The sequence below is a fragment of the Homo sapiens genome, chromosome 2 (genome assembly GCF_000001405.40).
Source record: "Homo sapiens chromosome 2, GRCh38.p14 Primary Assembly".
Taxonomy (NCBI): Eukaryota; Metazoa; Chordata; class Mammalia; order Primates; family Hominidae; genus Homo; species Homo sapiens.
Window position 1 is genome coordinate 24,009,596 of NC_000002.12, and position 17,712 is coordinate 24,027,307.

Here is a 17,712-nt window from a genome sequence, read left to right on the forward strand (position 1 = left end):
TAAGGACTTTTCTGGAATGTTGGCCTGTGCCACCTGCTTTTATTCGCTGGCCAGAACTTAGTTACTGGCCATCCCCGTGGTCTGTATAGGAGACTCGACAATGTATATTTCAGGCGTTGGGCATCATGTGTAGCCGGCGGAATGCCTGTTCAGCCATGGTCCAGCCTGAACGAGCGGGCCTCTTGCTTCATTTTGCAGGGGAGCTGCTGCTTGCCCGCGGTCACCCCAGCGGTCTGGCGGAGCCCTTAGCGCGCAGGGCCGCCGTCTGCGGGCGCTCACGCCCCCGGGGATCCACCCCAAGGAGAACGGTCCTGAGGGCCTGCCGGGCCTTTCCCCCCGCGGATTTTGGTTCTTCGCTGTTTCCCTTTGGGGTGCCCTTCGCGGTTTCTGCGTTTCCCCCGCGTTGCCAGCAGCCACTCGCGCCGCGCCCCTAGCCCAGAACCGCCCCTCCCAAGGGCGATAACCCCGAGGGCAACGGCCGCGGGCGGCGCTGCGGTGGCAATGGCGGCGCCCCCTGCACCAGCCGCCAAGGGGTCCCCGCAGCCGGAGCCGCACGCCCCAGAGCCCGGCCCGGGGAGCGCCAAGCGAGGGCGAGAGGTGAGCGGGGCGGCGGGGACCGGGAAGGGGCTGCGTCCTCGGGGAGCTCCAGGGCGTCGCCTCGCAGCCCCTTTTCCAGCTGGGGGCAGCCCGGAGGGGCTCGGCCCAAACCTGCCAGCTCAGGGGCTGCCCTCGCGGGGTTACACGGCTGGGAGCGGGGAGGCTGGTAGGTGCCGGCGCCGGAAAGAGACTAGGACGGGAAGCCTAGCCCTAGCCAAGGAAGTAACTTGGGGATGCGTGGTCATTGCTGTCCTGATTCCCGGCTTAGGGGTCTTGTCCGTGCCACCGCAGGTCCTCCCGGGGTCCCCGAGCTCTGGGCAGGCAGGGCTTTCTGAAGCGCCTGGGGAGGCTGCGTCCTTCCCGACCTCAGGCAGCTGCTGTGGCCTCGGCCTCCCTCCCAGACCCTGGCCTCGCCCAGGCACCAGGCTCCCCTTGGAGGCAGCCTCAGGGAAGGTCCTGGCCATGGGCTCCGACAAGAAGGGAGGAGGGCAGGTGGGAGCGGCGGGGTCTTCGGGGCCCCTTGTCCCTTGCCCGATGCCGCCGGGCCGTGCTGGCCAGTGGGGCTGTGCTGGACGGAGCAAGGGGCCTGGGGCTTCCTGGGCCTCACTGAACGCGCCTGCTCCCTGCTCGTGCCCAGGGCATTCTGTGGCCTCCCCTGACCACCTCAGCCCCCAGCCTGTTCAGGGCTTCCTACGAGGCACCTGGGAGCACAGGATTGCATCCCACAAGAAAGTGAGGTGAGATGAAGGGGCTCTCCGGGGACTCTCACTTCCCAGGGAAACTTAGAAATTCAGGGTGAGATTAACAGCAAGAGGGAAACACTCGCATTGCTGATGAAGTTCCGGCGTGGAATCCTCTTACGACTCTCCGAGGGGTGGCAGCCCCGGTCACTCCAAGGAGACCGAGGTGCCCTGCCCTGGGTCACGCAGCTAGAGATAGCAGGGCTGCGCCCCTCGCCCGGAGCCGCCCCTCCCAAGGGGCTTCTCCTTGTACAGCTCACTGTACAGCTGTACCGGGCTTTTATGACTTTCGGTAAAACTGTCATCCTCAAGACGGCAAGATGGGATCATATCCCTGGCTTCACTTGGAAGTTCTTTCTAAAGTTCTAAAAACTTGCTAGGCCTGTTTTGGGGGATACAAGAGTCCCCATTAGGGGGAGAGGGGGACTGTCACGTTGAATTCTGCCTGTTCTTAAAGTTTTCTGGAAGCTGAAATGATGTTCACACAAATGTCAGAAAAGAATCATCCTGCCCCCAGTGTGGTTTTCCCCTGTGGGTAGGAAGAGTGTGCAAAGTGTGATAAACCCTTATCTGGGGAGACCTTCCCTTCACAAGAGCCTGCTGGGGTGTCCTGCAAGATGTGGAAATGGGTGAAGCCATGTCATCTCCACTCCCTCCAGCCCCCAGCAAACGATGAGAAAAGAGCCCAGCTTCTTCCAAAGAAACAGCACTTTACACAGGGTCTTCATGGCCATTTATTGCTTCAACGGATATATACTAAGCACCTACTGTATACCAAGCTTTGTTCTAGGTACTGGAAACACCATGATAAATAAAAGGTGGAGTTCATGCTCTCAGAGAGCTTACATTCCTGTAGGGAGAGGCAGGAACTAAATGAAAATATAGCAGGCGGTAAGTACAACTGAGAGAGGTGAGAGGTTAGGGAATGCCTCTTGGAGGAGGTGACATTTAAGCTGGTGACATCAAACCAGAATGACAAGGAGTCACCTTCCAGGCAGAGGAATGGGAAGGGCAAAGGCCCTGAGGCAGCAACAGACTTGATGATTTTGAGGAATAGGAAGGAGCCCGGCGTGGCTGAAGGAGAGCTATTTGAGGTGAGGTGGGTAGGGGGCCGACTGGGTGGACTCCTTAGCCATGATCAGGACTTGGAGTTTTATTCAAACTGCAATGGTATTGACTGAATACCATGGATCTGGAAACAAACAAACAAACAAACAAAACACACACACACACACACACACACACACAAAAACAGACAAAAAAACCCTGCAATAGCAAGCCATTGGAGAGTTTTAATCAGAGAGGAGATGGGATCTGATTATTTATTTATTTATTTATGACTGAGTCTCTGTCACCCAGGCTGGAGTGCAGTGGTGTGATATTTGCTCACTGCAACCTCTGCCTCCCTGGTTCAAGCAATTCTCTTGCCTCAGCCTCCTGAGTAGCTGGGATTACAGGCGGCCACTATGCCTGGCTAATTTTTGTGTTTCTAGTAGAGATGGGGTTTTGCCATGTTGGGCAGGCTGGTCTTCAACTCCTGGGCTCAAGCAATCCACCTACCTCGGCCTCCCAAAGTGCTGGGTTTATAGGGATGAGCCACTGTGCGATTTATGTTATTACAAGAGCACTGGCTGCTGGGTGGAGTGGATTGTAGGGAGCAAGGGCAGACACAGAAGCCACTTAGGAGGCATTCACTGATAGACAAGAACTGGAAAGAAGAATAGATGACTCCTAAGTTTGTGGCCTGAGCCACTGAGGGGACCAGCGGTGCCATTTGCTAGGAGCTGGATTAGACAATGGAATGGCCATCAGGAGCTGTATGTAGACCATGCTAAGCTGAGACGCCTGCCAGGCATCCCTGGAGGGCTGTGGGTAGGCAGGCTATGGGTAAATGAGCTATCGCCTCATTTACTCATCGAAGAAACAACTTTGTGAAGTTGGCAGGGATGTTGCATTTGACAGATGAGGAAAACAGGCTTAGAGAGATGATGTGATTTATTCAAGGTCACATAGAGGGGTAGGTGACAAAGGCAGGCTCAAGCCCAGGTCTCCTGACCTGCAGCTTACACGGCCGTGCTGACTCAGTAAATGATGGCGGCTTCAGCAGGAAGCCCAGGGTAAGATGTCCAGAAGAACTTCCCCCCTGGAAATGTTTAGAGGTCAGGGTTTAGGATCTTTTTTCTCTTCGTCTCACTTCCTCTTAGGATGACATGGGGGCAAAATGGGGCTGAGAGGTTGCTGGAAAAGCCCTGAAGACATCACAGAGACTCAGGATGTTTACTGAAGTCATGGGGTGTGGGGACCTGTTTTGTGTCTGTTGGGAGAAGGGCTTAGTTCCTGTGTCTCCTCCAGGACAGCAGAGCCGGTCGCCTCTCATTCTGTACAAAGGTGTGCTATGGCATTGGTGGGGTCCCCAACCAGATAGCCTCCAGCGCCACAGCCTTTTACCTGCAGCTTTTCCTGCTTGATATAGCACAGGTAAGTGTGGGCAGTAGCCCAGTCTCTGCTGGCATCTTCCTTGGGGTCTGGTCCTTCCACCCCCACCTCTGCTTCTGCTCCCACTATCCTTGTAGACAGCACTTCTGACACGAGCTCAACAAAAAGCCAGAAGCCAATGAGGGCAAGGTACTCAAGAATGTTTACTGCAGCCTGTTTGTAGTGGGAAAATGAGAAACAATGTAGATCCCCGACAATATAGAAGCAGTTGGCTAAGTAAGCTGTATCATAGCCACATAATAGACCAAGCCTGTCCAACCCGCGGCGGGACGGCTTTGAATGCGGCCCCACACAAATTTGTAAACTTTCTTAAAACAGTATGAATTTTTTTGTTTTTTTTTTTTTTTAGCTCATTAGCTATCATTAGTGTTAGTGTATTTTATGTGTTTATATGTGGCCCAAGACGATTCTTTTTTTTTTTTTTTTTTTGAGACAGAGTCTCACTCTGTTGCCCAGGCTGGAGTGCAGTGGTGTGATCTTGGGGCTCACTGCAACCTCTGCCTCCCAGGTTCAAGCGATTCTCATGCCTCAGCCTCCCGAGTAGCTGGGATCACAGGTGCACACCACCACACTCGGCTAATTTGTTGTTTGTTTTTTTTTTTGAGATGGAGTCTCGCTCTGTCACCCAGGCTGGAGTGCAATGGCATGATCTCGGCTCACTGCAACCTCTGCCTCCCGGGTTTAGCAATTCTCCTGCCTCAGCCTCCAGAGTAGCTGGGATTACAGGTGTGTGCCATCATGCCTGGCTAATTTTTTGTATTTTTAGTAGAGACAACAGTTTCACCATGCTGGCCAGGCTGGTCTTGAACTCCTGACCTCGTGATCCACCCACCTCAGCCTCCCAAAGTGCTGGGATTATAGACGTGGACCACCGCGCCCAGTCTACAGCTAATTTTTGTGTTTTTAGTAGAGACGGGGTTTCGCCATGTTGGCCAGGCTGGTCTCGAACTCCTGATCTCAGGTGTTCCATCCACCACAGCTTCCCAAAGTGCTGGGATTACAGGCGTGAGCCACCGTGCCTGGCCAAGACAATTCTTCTTCTTCCAGTGTGGCCCACAGAAGTCAACAGACTACACTAACATCACTATCAAATAGACTATCATGCAGCCATTCAAAATAATGATCTATACCAGTTGACTTAGAGTGATTTCCATGATGCTCTGGTGAAAAAGAAAAGTTAGTTTTAGAGAAGAGTATATAAAATGATCCCATTTTAACAAAACAAAGACAGGCTCCATATGTGTGTGTGTGGATGGATATGTATATATACATATGTATCTGTCCATGTTTAAAATGTGAGCATGGAGAAAATTCTAGAAGGATATACACCAACTCGTTAATGTTGGCTACCGGAGGGAATGATGGAGAATGGAGGGTAAGTAAAACCAAATTTTTAAAATGAGGTATCCAGCCGAGCATGGTGGCTCACAGCTGTAATCCCAGCACTTTGCGAGGCCGAGGAGGGAGGATCACTTGAGGTCAGGAGTTCAAGACCAGCTTGACCAATATGGTGAACCCCATTTCTACTAAATATACAAAAATTAGCCAGGCGTGGTGGCACACGCCTGTAGTCACAGCTACTCAGGAAGCTGAGGCAGGATAATTGCTTGAACCCAGGAGGTGGAGGTTGCAGTGAGCTAAGATTGCACCACCACATTCCAGCCTGGGCGACAGAGCAAGACTCCCTCTCAAAAACAAAACAAAAACCAACAACAAAAAAATGAGGTATCCAGCCGGGTATGGTGGCTCACACACCCAGCACTTTGGGAGGTCAAGGCGGGAGGACCGTCTAAGCTCAGGTGTTCAAGACCAGCCTGGGCAACATGGCAAAACTCCACCTCCACAAAAAAAAAAAAAATTTAAAAATACAAAAATTAGCTCGGTGTAGAGGAACGTGCCTGTGGTCTCAGCTACTTGGGAGGCTGAGGTGGGAGAATCACCTGAGCCCAAGAGGCAGTGGTTGCAGTGAGCCGAGATGGTGCCACTGCACTCCAGCCTGGGCAACAGAGCGAGGCCCTGTCTCAATTAAAAAATAAAATAAAATAATAAAATGAGGTATCCACGAATGTTTAAGATGACAGTCTGATATGATCCCATTTATATAAACTGATCAATCTCAAGCACACATGAAGAAGCCTATGAAAGGCTGATCATCCAAACGATTCTGGCAGTTGTCTTGGGATGCTGCGATTTCAGATGAGCTTTGCTTAGTATTTTCCTGCATAGTTTGAGTGTTTTTCTAATAAGTGTATTATTTACATAGTCAGAAAAAACAATGCATCCTTTCCATTGTGAAACACAGTGTCCACCTCTGTCAGCCCAGAGGCACCCTCCTTGCTCTGAGCCAGAATGTTTTTCTAATGAGTGTATTATTTACATAGTCAGAAAAACCAGTGAATCCTTTCCATTGTGAAACACAGTGTCCACCTCTGTCAGCCCAGAGGCACCCTCCTTGCTCTGAGCCAGCCCCAGATGAGGGCCCTGGAGTCCTCTCCGCAGTGGCTGACATGAGTACTAATGGGAGTGTGCAGGGCGGCAGCACTCAGCTCCCTCCCCTGGACTCAGCCCCGGGATCAGCATCCTGGGGAAGGCTGAGGAGCCCTTGACACTGTGGCTCTGCCCTCCGGTCCCGGTTCCCAGGCCTCCCTCTTGATGGCAAGCAGGCCTGGATGGGCTCTCTGCTGCTGCTGGGCCTCAGCTCTCTATCCCCTCCCCTGTCTGTTTCAGATCCCTGCCGCCCAGGTGTCACTTGTTCTGTTTGGGGGAAAAGTGTCTGGGGCGGCTGCTGACCCTGTGGCTGGGTTCTTCATCAACAGGAGCCAGAGGACAGGGTCTGGACGGCTCATGCCTTGGTGAGCAACCGCTCAGTCCTTAGGATCCAGGCACCTGGTCCTGGCCCTGAGGTCACTGTTTGTCACAGCCCTATTTCCTAGCAGAAACCCACTGGGTGGTTAGGAGACAAGACTGGATAATATCGCAGGTGCACTGGGGACTGACTGTGAGTGATAAGGAGTTCAGAGACATTCTTGGGGACTCTCCCTCCCCAGATGGCACGGGGCTGGATGAAGCCTCCAAGACTCCCAGGCCTGGCCTGGGGCACTGAGTGTGGGAAGGCTGGGCTGAAGGCCATGCGAGGCCTCACGGAGGAAGTACAGCTCAGTGTCCCAATGTCCACACAGGGAAGGGCACCAGCAGCGCTGAGAGTGCAGCTGGAGCTCCCACGAGGAGTGGCCGCCCATTCCCCACTGCCTCCATGACCCATCGGCCACTTCTCCCCTGCTCCTGGCTCCCACCCAGGGCGCCCCAGCCTAGGGATTCTCAAGGGGCAGAGAAGGGGTGGGGTTCCTCCAGGCTGGGCCCTTTGTGTTCCCCTGTCTGGGTCGGGGGGCCGCTCCACCTCGGCTGTGCTTCCGCAGGGTGCTGGGCTGCACCCCCTTCATCGCCCTGGCCTACTTCTTCCTGTGGTTCCTGCCCCCCTTCACCAGCCTGCGAGGCCTCTGGTACACGACTTTCTACTGCCTGTTCCAGGCCCTGGCCACGGTAAGCAGGGCCCCTTCCTGGGCCTGTGCTCTGGCGAAGCCCATTGCTGGCCATGGCCACTCTGAAGTGTGCTGTGGGGGCAGGGCTGCCGCCCTCCCCACCCGCCTGTGCCTGGACCATGCCATTGGCACTCGCCAGCCTTGCGCGGGACTGGCTGCCCCCTCCTGCCTTTGGGACCCTAGCTCCGACTTCAGGTGGCCAGCTGGGATATGTCACGTTGGCCTGTGGGTGTCGGGATGTGACACCCAGGATGGGGGAGGTCGCCCGCTGTCACCAGGCAAAGCTGGGGGCGGTTCTAAGCTCTGCCGACGCCCCAGTTCTTCCAGGTGCCCTACACAGCGCTCACCATGCTGCTGACTCCCTGCCCAAGGGAGCGGGACTCGGCCACCGCCTACCGTGAGTGCAGCCGTGGGTTTCGGGTTCCAGGGAGGCAACTGCCCCTGGGACCCCACTCCCTCTCAGTCACCTTAAGTGGCACTCTGTCTCCAGGGATGACTGTGGAGATGGCGGGAACACTGATGGGGGCCACTGTCCACGGGCTCATCGTGTCCGGCGCCCACAGACCCCACAGGTGCGAGGCCACTGCGACCCCGGGGCCAGTCACTGTCTCCCCGAATGCAGTAAGTGCACTGGGTGGCAAGGCCCCCCAACCTGGGGTCCCCTCTGCAGGGTCACCTCCTTCCTCTAGGGCTGGTTCTCCCGTCCACACCACTTTGTTGTCTTTTAGGGGGCTCACTGTGCCCCCTCATTCCTTCCCTGCTCCTCCAGTTGAGCAGATGGCCCCCAAATCTAACGTCCTCTGCTAAACCTGCCTCCTTCTGGGTTCCTTCTAGACATAAAATAGAATAGACACTGGGCCAGCCACCTGGAGCAGAGGAGGCCAGCCCCAGAGGAGGGGCGAGGGTGGGGAAAGCCGCAGGACAGGCTAGGGGAGGGGGCAGCAGAGGGGTCTGCTGTCCTCGCAGAGCCCTGGGTAAAGCCCTTCCTATGACCCATGCCCCCTCCCCCAGCCCTGACCAGGTGAGCCCCCAACCCGCAGCATGAAATGGTGAAATGAGAGGGGGAAGCCCCCTTCCTTCCCTTTCACGGCGGGTCCCTTCAGCACTGGGCGGACACACCTCTATTTTATCCACCACATTTACCTTCTCTTTTTCCATGTCCCCCTTTCCTTAAGTAAATGACATTACCATCCTCCAGCACTGTCCTCTTCTTCTCCTCCCCTCTCTCAACTCTCCAACCTATGACCGAATCCTGCCCATTTTTTAGGCCAAAAGTCTTCTGGGATGCATCCAGCCACCCTGCACCCCACTGCCATGCCCCGGCCCGTGCCACTACCTCCCTCTCCACCCCACAACTGCTGCCTCCGCCTCTTACACGGCATCCCATCCTTGCCTTCTGCCACCTCCCTGTGCGGTCAGGTGCCCTTTGAAAGGAGTTTGAGCAATGTTCATCCTCATTGCCTCCTGTTCTGCCCACGATCCCCTCCCCCAAGATACTCTTTGTGGGGAAGAGGGGCTGGGGCAATGCAGGCTGGGTGACCGACTACCCCAGTCCCAGGGAAGGTGGGGCCCTGCCTCTAGGATGCTGCAGCAGAGTGAGCAAGGGGGCCCGAATCGACCATAATGGGTGTAGGGGCCACCTCCTCCCCCTGTTCTGTTGGGGAGGGGTAGCCATGATTTATCCCAGCCTGGGGCTCCCCCTCTGGTTTCCTATTTGCAGTTACTTGAATTAAAAAAAATCCTTTTCTGGAAAAAAAAAAAAAAAAGGAGTTTGAGCATGGGTGGCCCTCGCCTTCAGGACTGGGCATGGGCTGCCCTCCGCAGCCTTCATGTAGGCCTCTCCTCTGTGTGCTCTGAAACCTGCTGTGTTGGCCTTTTGTGCTTTTTTTTTTTTTTTTTTTGAGACGGAATCTCGATCTGTTGCCCAGGCTGGAGTGCAGGGGCGCAATCTCGGCTCACTGCAACCTCCGTCTCCCGGATTCAGGCCATTCTCCTGCCTCAGCCTCCTGAGTAGCTGGGATTACAGGCATGCGCCACCACGCCTGGCTAATTTTTGTATTTTTAGTAGAGATGGGGTTTTGCCATGTTGGCCAGGCTGGTCTCAAATTCCTGACCTCAGGTAATCCGCCCGCCTCAGCCTCCCAAAGTGCTGGGATTACAGGCGTGAGCCACCGCGCTCGACCTGTGCTTGTTTTTAAGTTAATATTTCAGATTTACACAAAGGCAGAGAGGCACAGATCTTAGTGTGGTCCCTGGACCAGCAGCATCAGCAACACCTGGAACCTTGTTAGAAAGGTAGATCCTCAGGCCCTACCTCAGTCCTCTGATTCACTAATTCTAGGGACCGGGCCCAGCAATCTCTATGTTAACAAGCCCTCCCGGGGATTCTGCCCCCACCAATGTCTCAGCATCAATAGTATGAGAAGAATACCAGTAATATCTGTGGCCCACCACCCATTCAAGAAAATGTTACAGCCAGGTGCGGTGGCTCACGCCTGTAATCCCAGCACTTTGAGGGGCCGAGGTGGGTGGATCATTTGAGGTCAGGAGTTCAAGACCAGCCTGGCCAACATGGTGAAACCCCATCATTACTAAAAATACAAAAATTAGCCGGGCATGGTGGCAGGCACCTGTAATCCCAGCTACTTGGGAGGCTGAGGCAGGAGAATCACTTGAACCCAGGAGGCAGAGGTTGCAGTGAGCAGGGATCACGCCATTGCACTCCAGCCTGGGCAATCACCTTGCCTATGTACTCTGCAAAATGAAAATGAAGGGCCTTGGAAAGTCAATCTCCCCTTTCCCAATGCACCTACTGCCCCAGCCAGGGGATTGCAGCCTCCAGCACTGGCACCCTCTAGGTGTCCACTAAGCACCTGGATTGGGATAGGTGAGAGGCCCCCACCCTCCGAATCCACACGCTGCTGCTGGCCAAGGGCCAGAAGGCTGTATCCTAGACTGACTCTCCCTGCACTCACATCTGCGCCCCCATTCAGGCCTCCCATGCCTCTCTCCAATGCCAATGCCATCTCCTCAGGTGGAGCAGAGCTACCTGGCCCTGTTCTGTACACATGCCTCCCAGCTACACGACCACGTCCAGGACCTGGTGCTAGCTGTCCTGGTGAGGGGGCCTGGGGTGGTGGAGGCTAGGTCACTTGGGGCCCTGAGCTGGGGACATGTGTGGTCCTTGATGTGACACAAGGGTTGGGGAAGGGAAAGTATCAAGGAGTGGGGAGCAGGAGGCTGAGAACCCATGCCCAGGGGGCAGAGCCTCATGTGAGCAGAGACTGGATGCTCTTGGTGGCTCACAACCCACTGTCCCATCAGATTTCACTTACAAAATTGAAATCCATTATAAAATTATTAAGAATCTCAAGACAGCAACAGCAGAGCATTGAACCCCAGAGGCAGTGCCCTCCAGAGCATGAGGCCCAGGGCGGTTGCACAGGATGAGTGCCCTGCCCCACCCTGCGCCCTCCCTCTCCTCCCCTCCCCAGAGGCAGCCTCTGTCCCGAACTGGCTGTGACTCTCGTGCATGTCTTTATAGGCATTTTAATGCATATGTATTCTTCTCTGAATGACAAGTAGCACTGTCCTGCTTCCTATATATACAGAGGCAGGGTCTTACTCTGCCACCCAGGCTGGAGTGCAATGGTGCAATCACAGCTCACAGCAACCTCGACCTCCCAGACTCAAGCGATTCTGCCACCTCAGCCTCCCTAGTAGCTGGGACTGCAGGTGCATGCACACCACCACACCTGGCTAATTTTTGTATTTTCTTTGGTAGATATGGGGTTTTGCCATGTTGCCCAGGCTGGTCTTGAACTCCTGGGTTCAAGGGATCCACCTGCCTCAGCTTCCCAAAGAGCTGGAATGACAGGCATGAGCCACCGTGCCTGTCCCTGCTTCCTATATTAATTTTTTATTTTTATTTTTTATTTTTCCTTTTGAGATGAGAGTCTCGCTCTGTCGCTTAGGCTGGAGTGCAGTACTGTGATCTCGGCTCACTGCAACCTCCATCTCCCCAGTTCAAGTGATTCTCCTGCCTCAGCCTCCTGAGTAGCTAGGATGACAGGCACCCGCCACCACACCCAGCTAAATGTTTGTATTTTTAGTAGAGATGGGGTTTCACGATGTTGGCCAGGCTGGTCTGGAACTCCTGACCTCAAATGATCCACCCACCTTGGCCTCCCAAAGTGCTAGGATGACAGGCATGAGCCACCGCGCCCGGCCCTGCTTCCTCCATTAATCTGAGTCACCATGCATCTCACCGTGCTGTAACCACCTGCTCCTGGATCTGTCTTCCTCCCCACACTCTGAGCCCTGTGGATGGACAGGGCTCACTTATTCATCATTGGAGCCTCAGGGCCTGGCATGCGGAAGGCAGCAGCAGTCAATGTTTGCTTCATAGAATGTGGGAAGGAGCACTTTGGCTCCTGGGGCATGTGTCCTCTTTGCCATGCAGGGAACACAGGGTCAGCAGAGGGGGTGTGTGGAAGGACCAGCCCGGGCCCGGAGAGCATGCTGTCCTGTGGGGTGATTGGGAGGTGGGGACCCAGCGTCCTGGGCTTGGGTTGTGCCTCCCTCCGCTCCCACTGGGAGGCAGTACTGCCCTGCCCCTCCGGTGTCACCACCTCCAGGGGTTGAAGACATCACCCATCCCAGTCCTGTCCTGTCCCACAGGCCCATCTCTACTGCATTGCGGCTGCCGTGGTTGTAGTGACTTACCCCGTGTGCATCAGTTTACTGTGCCTAGGGGTGAAGGAGCGGCCAGGTATGGGGTTTGGTGAGGAGGGAAGCAGAAGCTGGGGGCAGGGCTCTGCTTGGGGGCAGGTTTTGCTTTTGAACTCTGCGAAGCCAAGGTGACACGCTTCTGCGTTGCAGACCCCTCTGCCCCAGCCTCAGGCCCAGGCTTGAGTTTCCTGGCTGGGCTGAGCCTCACTACCCGGCACCCACCCTACCTGAAGCTGGTGATCTCCTTCCTGTTCATCTCTGCTGCTGTTCAGGTACCTCTGGCCAGCTGCCCCCGACAGGCTTGGTGCTGGCCATGCTGACCTTGCATAGGTTCAGGGTGCAGTCTTGGCTTGAGTTTTATAGGGAGAAACCTGCGGCTGGCACATGGCTCAGAGGGGCTGGTGCCGGGAGGGAGATCCCGGTAGGGCTTGTGGGAATGGAGGGCCAGGGCCTGGGCACTAGGAGGCTGACAATGTCTGGGCGGTTTCCTCTCACATTACCTGAAGTGTAGTCAAGTCCACCTGATCACAGCTGAGCAGGTGATGAGGGTGGCCTAGGAGTGGTGTTTGTATCTGTGTTGGGGATAAGTGTCCTTTGTGGGGGAAGGGACTGTATGATGGTAGCAGCAAGCCAAGGTCCCAATGGAGATGCCAGACTCCAGACCCTGTCCTTGCCCTTGACTTCTGAGCTCCTGCCATGCCCTGCACATACCCACTTCCTGTCCATCTCCTCAGGTGGAGCAGAGCTACCTGGTCCTGTTCTGTACACATGCCTCCCAGCTACACGACCACGTCCAGGGCCTGGTACTAACTGTCCTGGTGAGGGGGCCTGGGGTGGTGGAGGCTAGGTCACTTGGGGCCCTGAGCTGGGGACATGTGTGGTCCTTGATGTGACACATATGGCCAGAGTTCTGGTGGTCAACATTTTGGACTTTGCTTTGGTCTTGGTCACCTGCATTCCAGCAGAGGGTAGAATTGGGGCCAGGATTACAACATTCATAGCCACCGGTTTGAACCAGGGGCAAGGCCAAGGTCAGGCATCCAATCTAAAAGCCAAGGCCTTGGGGTCCCAGGCAAAGGCGCTGGCAGCACGGCCCTGGCGTGACGATGCTGTCTGCTCACAGGTCTCAGCCGTGCTGAGCACCCCGCTGTGGGAGTGGGTTCTCCAGCGCTTTGGGAAGAAGACGTCAGCCTTTGGGATCTTTGTGAGTGAGGCGGGAATCAAGGATTGGGGGTGGCCGGAGGGGAGAGGTGAGCGAGGTGACCTTGGTGCCTGAGCCTCCTGGGGCCAGCAGGGGTGGATCTGTGTTCCCTTGAGTCTTTAGGGCCTAGCACAGGGCAAGGCATGGGGGTCGTCAGTCGAGTCGTGTGTGAAGGAGCAGGCCCCACGAAGAAGCAGGTGGCGGGACAGCTGGTGTGTGTGTCTCCCCAGGCGATGGTGCCCTTTGCGATCTTGCTGGCTGCTGTGCCCACAGCACCTGTGGCATATGTCGTGGCCTTTGTATCTGGCGTGAGCATTGCTGTGTCCTTGCTGCTACCCTGGTAGGCTGGGTGTGGGGGCCTCACGTGTGTCCACAGTGGGTGTCACCTCCTTCATGTAAACCTGCCGTCCCAGGCCCCCTGCACCCAGCCTGTGCAGGAGATGGAGGCCACCAGCTCCATCCTCAGAGCCCTCCTGAGAGGACATCAGGCAGTAGGAATGGCGGGGGGCCGGCAGGGGGCTGGCGGGGGGTACGAGCACACAGGCCATCTGCTTCTCTGGTGGCCAGTCTGGTCCTGGGCACAGAACTCAGGGATGAATCCACTTTGGCCTCCGTCCCCAGAGAATTCACAGGCTGCTGGTGGCCAAGGGGCTAGGAGGGCTAACTCCACACCCCCGCCGCAGGTCCATGCTGCCAGACGTGGTGGATGACTTTCAGCTGCAGCACCGTCACGGGCCAGGCCTGGAGACCATCTTCTACTCCTCCTACGTCTTCTTCACCAAGCTGTCTGGCGCATGTGCCCTGGGCATCTCCACCCTCAGTCTGGAGTGAGTCCCAGGGTTAGGATACAGCAGAGGCACCAAGGACCAGTGGGCAGGAAGAGGGCAAAGCCCCTCACCTACCAAGCTCAGGGCATCCATGAGCCTGGGGCCTAAGCGCTACTCTTTGGAGAGTGTGGGGAACCACTTCCCCAGGTTTCTCTGTGCATGAGACTGAGAGGGCCAGCTCCCCTATTCTCAGTTCCCTCTAAACTCTCCCAGGTCAGCCTGTCACCTTGACACTCCTCTCCTGATCTGACCAGGAAATGAAGTCCACGTTTCAGGAGGGGGTGGGGTGGGGTGAGGTGTCGAGTCCCTCCACCCAGGGTGCCAGGCTCAGCAGGCCCTGCCCTAATGGCTGGCTGATGTTTCTCCAGGTTCTCGGGGTATAAGGCAGGGGTCTGCAAGCAAGCAGAGGAGGTGGTGGTCACCCTCAAAGTCCTCATTGGCGCCGTGCCCACCTGCATGATCCTTGCTGGGCTCTGCATCCTCATGGTCGGCTCCACTCCAAAGACACCCAGTCGGGACGCCTCCAGCCGGCTGAGCCTTCGGAGGTAAGCCCCGCACGCCCCCTGCAGCCAGCGAGGCACAGTGTGGGCTGCTGGGGGAATGACTAACACCAGCCTGCAGACATCCCTGCTGTGTCACACAGTCCTGCCTCTGGGACCTCTTTCCTTAGCTCAGGGTCACCCTTTTCTCCTGGATTTTCTTCTCCCACTCTGGCCACCCCTTCTCAGTCTTCTTCCTTTGATCACCTGGTAGACTGTGGTATGTGAGGGCTCACTCCTTGATCTCCTATTGCTTTTGCTCTCCAAAGCCCCCTTGGTACCTCTTCTGCTAGCCTGACCCAACTCAGGCACTCCTTGTGCCTGGTGACTGCTAGAGCTGCCCCTCCAGCCTGTGCTTCCCTCAACTTCCACAGCCGCATATCACTGGCATGTGGACATTTCCACCTAGTAGCCCACAAGCCTGGCACTCAGTCTCGATGAGCCTCAATGGAACTCATCTTGTCCCCCTAACTGGCTCCTCCTTCTGTGTCCCTGTCTTGGTGAATGACACCATCGTTCCCTCTGGGTGGAAGCCTAGGAGTCTTCTGCTCTTCCCTCCCACGGGCAATACTGAGCAGGTCTCTGACCTGGTCCTTCCCCTACCAGAACACCGACCCCACTGACGGGGAGGATCTACTCACTGTCTGACCTTCCGGGGAGGCTATGGGAACCTTGAAGGCTGAGGCTGGCTGTTTTATTCCTTTTTGTATCCCAAGAGCCCAGCACAGAGCCTGAGGCCAAGCAGGTACTCAGGAATCACTGCTGCAGCATCACCACGTCTGGTCCAGCAGACGTGCACAAGCACCCAATGTTCACACAAGTAAGGTCCACGAGCATGCACATATCATGCAGGCCCACGCGGGACAGGCAGTGGGTGGCCTTGTCATCAGCCACTCCCTGCTGAGGGTGACGGCCTCGGGCTCTGCAGCAGAGAGATACTGAGGGCATGCTTCCCAGTCAGGGAAGGCCAGGCGGATGGGGAACTGCTTGATGACACTTGGAGAAACAGGGTTGTAGCTCATCTACAGGACTTGGGAGGGGAGGAGTTGAAGAGGAGTTGCTGGGAAGACAAGGAGCAGCCACCAAACCTTCCGCGGGCTTCTGCGGCAGGACAGAGGGCCCACACCACTTCCATCCTTCTCCTTGGCTTCCTTCCCTTCCCACAGGAGGACCAGCTACAGCCTGGCCTAAAGCTTAGGAGGGCGACTGTGAATGGACACAGGAGCCAGCACCCTCGGGGCCTGACATCGCCCTCCTCAGCCCTCCAGCACCTGGTCTGGCAGTTTAGTATGTGACCTTTCTCCCTGGGATGTGGAGTCTTCGGCAACGTGTCCTGAAGGGACTGGCCCGCACTCCAGGACCCCACTTGGCATTTCTTGTCTGTTGCCTTCAGACTATCTCAGATAGGCCTGTGCCCCTGACTAGCCCAGTAGCACTTGTCTCTAGAAAAAGGAAGCTCCTGCCCAACCTGGCTTGTGGACCAGTAATATCTGTGGCCTACCACCCATTCAAGAAAACGTTACAGCCGGCTCACTGCAAAATCCGCCTCCCGGGTTCACGCCATTCTCCTGCCTCAGCCTCCCGAGTAGCTGGGACTACAGGTGCCCGCCACCACGCCCAGCTAATTTTTGTATTTTTAGTAGAGACGGGGTTTCACCGTGTTAGCCAGAATGGTTTCGATCTCCTGACCTCGTGATCCGCCCCGCCTCAGCCTCCCAAAGGCATGAGCCACCGTACTCGGCCTGCCCAGGCTGGTCTTAAACTCCTGGCCTCAGGTGATCCTACTGCCTCAGCCTCCTGAGTAGCTGGGATTACAGACACAGCCCCCGTTCCCAGCTCTAGCATTTCTTAAGGACAAAATTGGTGTGTAAGTAACAGGAAATTCACATTATGCTGTACTCATTCTCTAATATCACAGCCATGTTAGAACAAATTTGGGTTTTCAAAACAAGCGTAACTGAACAGAGTATATATATGTATGTATATAAATATATAGAAATCCTAAATGGTCCCTGTGACATAAGAAATACACATTTGGTCTCTGCCCCAGGTTCCTGGCACAGAGCTTCTAAAATGCTAGTAACTTCCTGAGTGGTAGGGGTGAGGGGAACATCTTTTGTTATACATAAGAAGCCCTTTTCAAACAGATCTGAGTTTATGCTAATGATGTGACTGGCAGAGGATGGGGGCTGGTTGCCAGAGAAACCAACCATGTGATTAGAAGGTTGAAACTTTCAGCCTTATCTTCCTACCGGGAGGGGACAGGGGCTGAAGACTGAGCTCATCATCAATGATTTAATCAATTGTGCCCATGTAATGGAGCCTCCACTTCCAAACGAAGGGTTTCAGAGAGCTTCTAGGTTGGTGAACACATCCATGTACCAGGAGGTCTACCCCACTCCACGGGGACAGAAACTCTTGTGTAGGGGACCCTTTTAGATTTCATTCTATATACCTCTTCAGCTGGCTGTTCATTTTATAATCAACCAATAAATGTTAAGTAAAGTGTTTCTCTGTGTTCTATGCATTATAGGAAATTATCGAATCTGAGGAGGGTTTTGTGGGAATCCCCTATTTGCAGCCAAGCTGGAGAGAAGTGTGTATCGCCTGGAGACCCACTACTTGCAACTGGTATTGGAAGTGGGGATCAGCCTGTTGGACTGAGCCCGTAACCTATTGGGTCTGCACTAACTCTGGGTAGTATCAGAACTGAATGAAATTGTAGGGTACCCAGTTATGTCCATAGAGAACTGAAGAATCGCTTGGTGTAGAAAAACCCACACATCTGATGTCAGAAGTGTTCTGTGGTTACAGAAAAAAATAGTTTCTCCTTTTAGTCTCATAAATATTAAAGGATTAAATAAATATTTAAAAATATTCCCACAAAGGGCCAGGGGCGGTGGCTCACGCCTGTAATCCCAGCACTTTGGGAGGCCGAGGCGGGCGGATCACGAGGTCAGGAGATCGAGACCATCTTGGCTAACATGGTGAAGCCCCATCTCTACTAAAAATACAAAAAATTAGCCGGGCGTTGTGGCAGGC

General features: G+C 55.1%; 1 protein-coding gene across 1 annotated transcript, besides 5 other annotated features; it reads left to right on the top strand.

The window, feature by feature from the left end:
* The first annotated feature begins 489 nt into the window (after positions 1–489).
* MFSD2B (MFSD2 lysolipid transporter B, sphingolipid) lies at positions 490–17,180 on the top strand. Its single transcript, NM_001346880.2, has 14 exons — positions 490–597; positions 3,690–3,815; positions 6,561–6,685; positions 7,250–7,373; positions 7,691–7,769; positions 7,863–7,993; positions 12,053–12,143; positions 12,254–12,375; positions 12,838–12,921; positions 13,227–13,307; positions 13,535–13,644; positions 13,988–14,131; positions 14,500–14,676; positions 15,837–17,180. The coding sequence occupies exons 1-14, from the start codon at positions 502–504 to the stop codon at positions 15,859–15,861; spliced, it is 1,515 nt and encodes a 504-aa protein (NP_001333809.1). The 5' UTR covers positions 490–501; the 3' UTR covers positions 15,862–17,180.
* Positions 6,476–7,031: an enhancer, noted in NCBI's record as "H3K27ac-H3K4me1 hESC enhancer chr2:24238941-24239496 (GRCh37/hg19 assembly coordinates)". NCBI's record gives its function as "activates a minimal SCP1, AML or CMV promoter by ChIP-STARR-seq in naive H9 embryonic stem cells {active_cell/tissue: H9 hESC(naive)}" and the evidence as "EXISTENCE:reporter gene assay evidence [ECO:0000049][PMID:30033119]".
* Positions 7,032–7,587: an enhancer, noted in NCBI's record as "H3K27ac-H3K4me1 hESC enhancer chr2:24239497-24240052 (GRCh37/hg19 assembly coordinates)". NCBI's record gives its function as "activates a minimal SCP1, AML or CMV promoter by ChIP-STARR-seq in naive H9 embryonic stem cells {active_cell/tissue: H9 hESC(naive)}" and the evidence as "EXISTENCE:reporter gene assay evidence [ECO:0000049][PMID:30033119]".
* Positions 11,627–12,243: an enhancer, noted in NCBI's record as "H3K4me1 hESC enhancer chr2:24244092-24244708 (GRCh37/hg19 assembly coordinates)". NCBI's record gives its function as "activates a minimal SCP1, AML or CMV promoter by ChIP-STARR-seq in primed H9 embryonic stem cells {active_cell/tissue: H9 hESC(primed)}" and the evidence as "EXISTENCE:reporter gene assay evidence [ECO:0000049][PMID:30033119]".
* Positions 13,868–14,853: an enhancer, noted in NCBI's record as "H3K27ac-H3K4me1 hESC enhancer chr2:24246333-24247318 (GRCh37/hg19 assembly coordinates)". NCBI's record gives its function as "activates a minimal SCP1, AML or CMV promoter by ChIP-STARR-seq in naive H9 embryonic stem cells {active_cell/tissue: H9 hESC(naive)}" and the evidence as "EXISTENCE:reporter gene assay evidence [ECO:0000049][PMID:30033119]".
* Positions 14,524–14,818: a silencer, noted in NCBI's record as "tiled region #11775; HepG2 Repressive DNase matched - State 25:Art, and K562 Repressive non-DNase unmatched - State 14:Gen5'". NCBI's record gives its function as "represses a minimal TATA promoter and a strong SV40 promoter by Sharpr-MPRA in HepG2 and K562 cells {active_cell/tissue: HepG2 | K562}" and the evidence as "EXISTENCE:reporter gene assay evidence [ECO:0000049][PMID:27701403]".
* Positions 17,181–17,712: the final 532 nt, after the last annotated feature.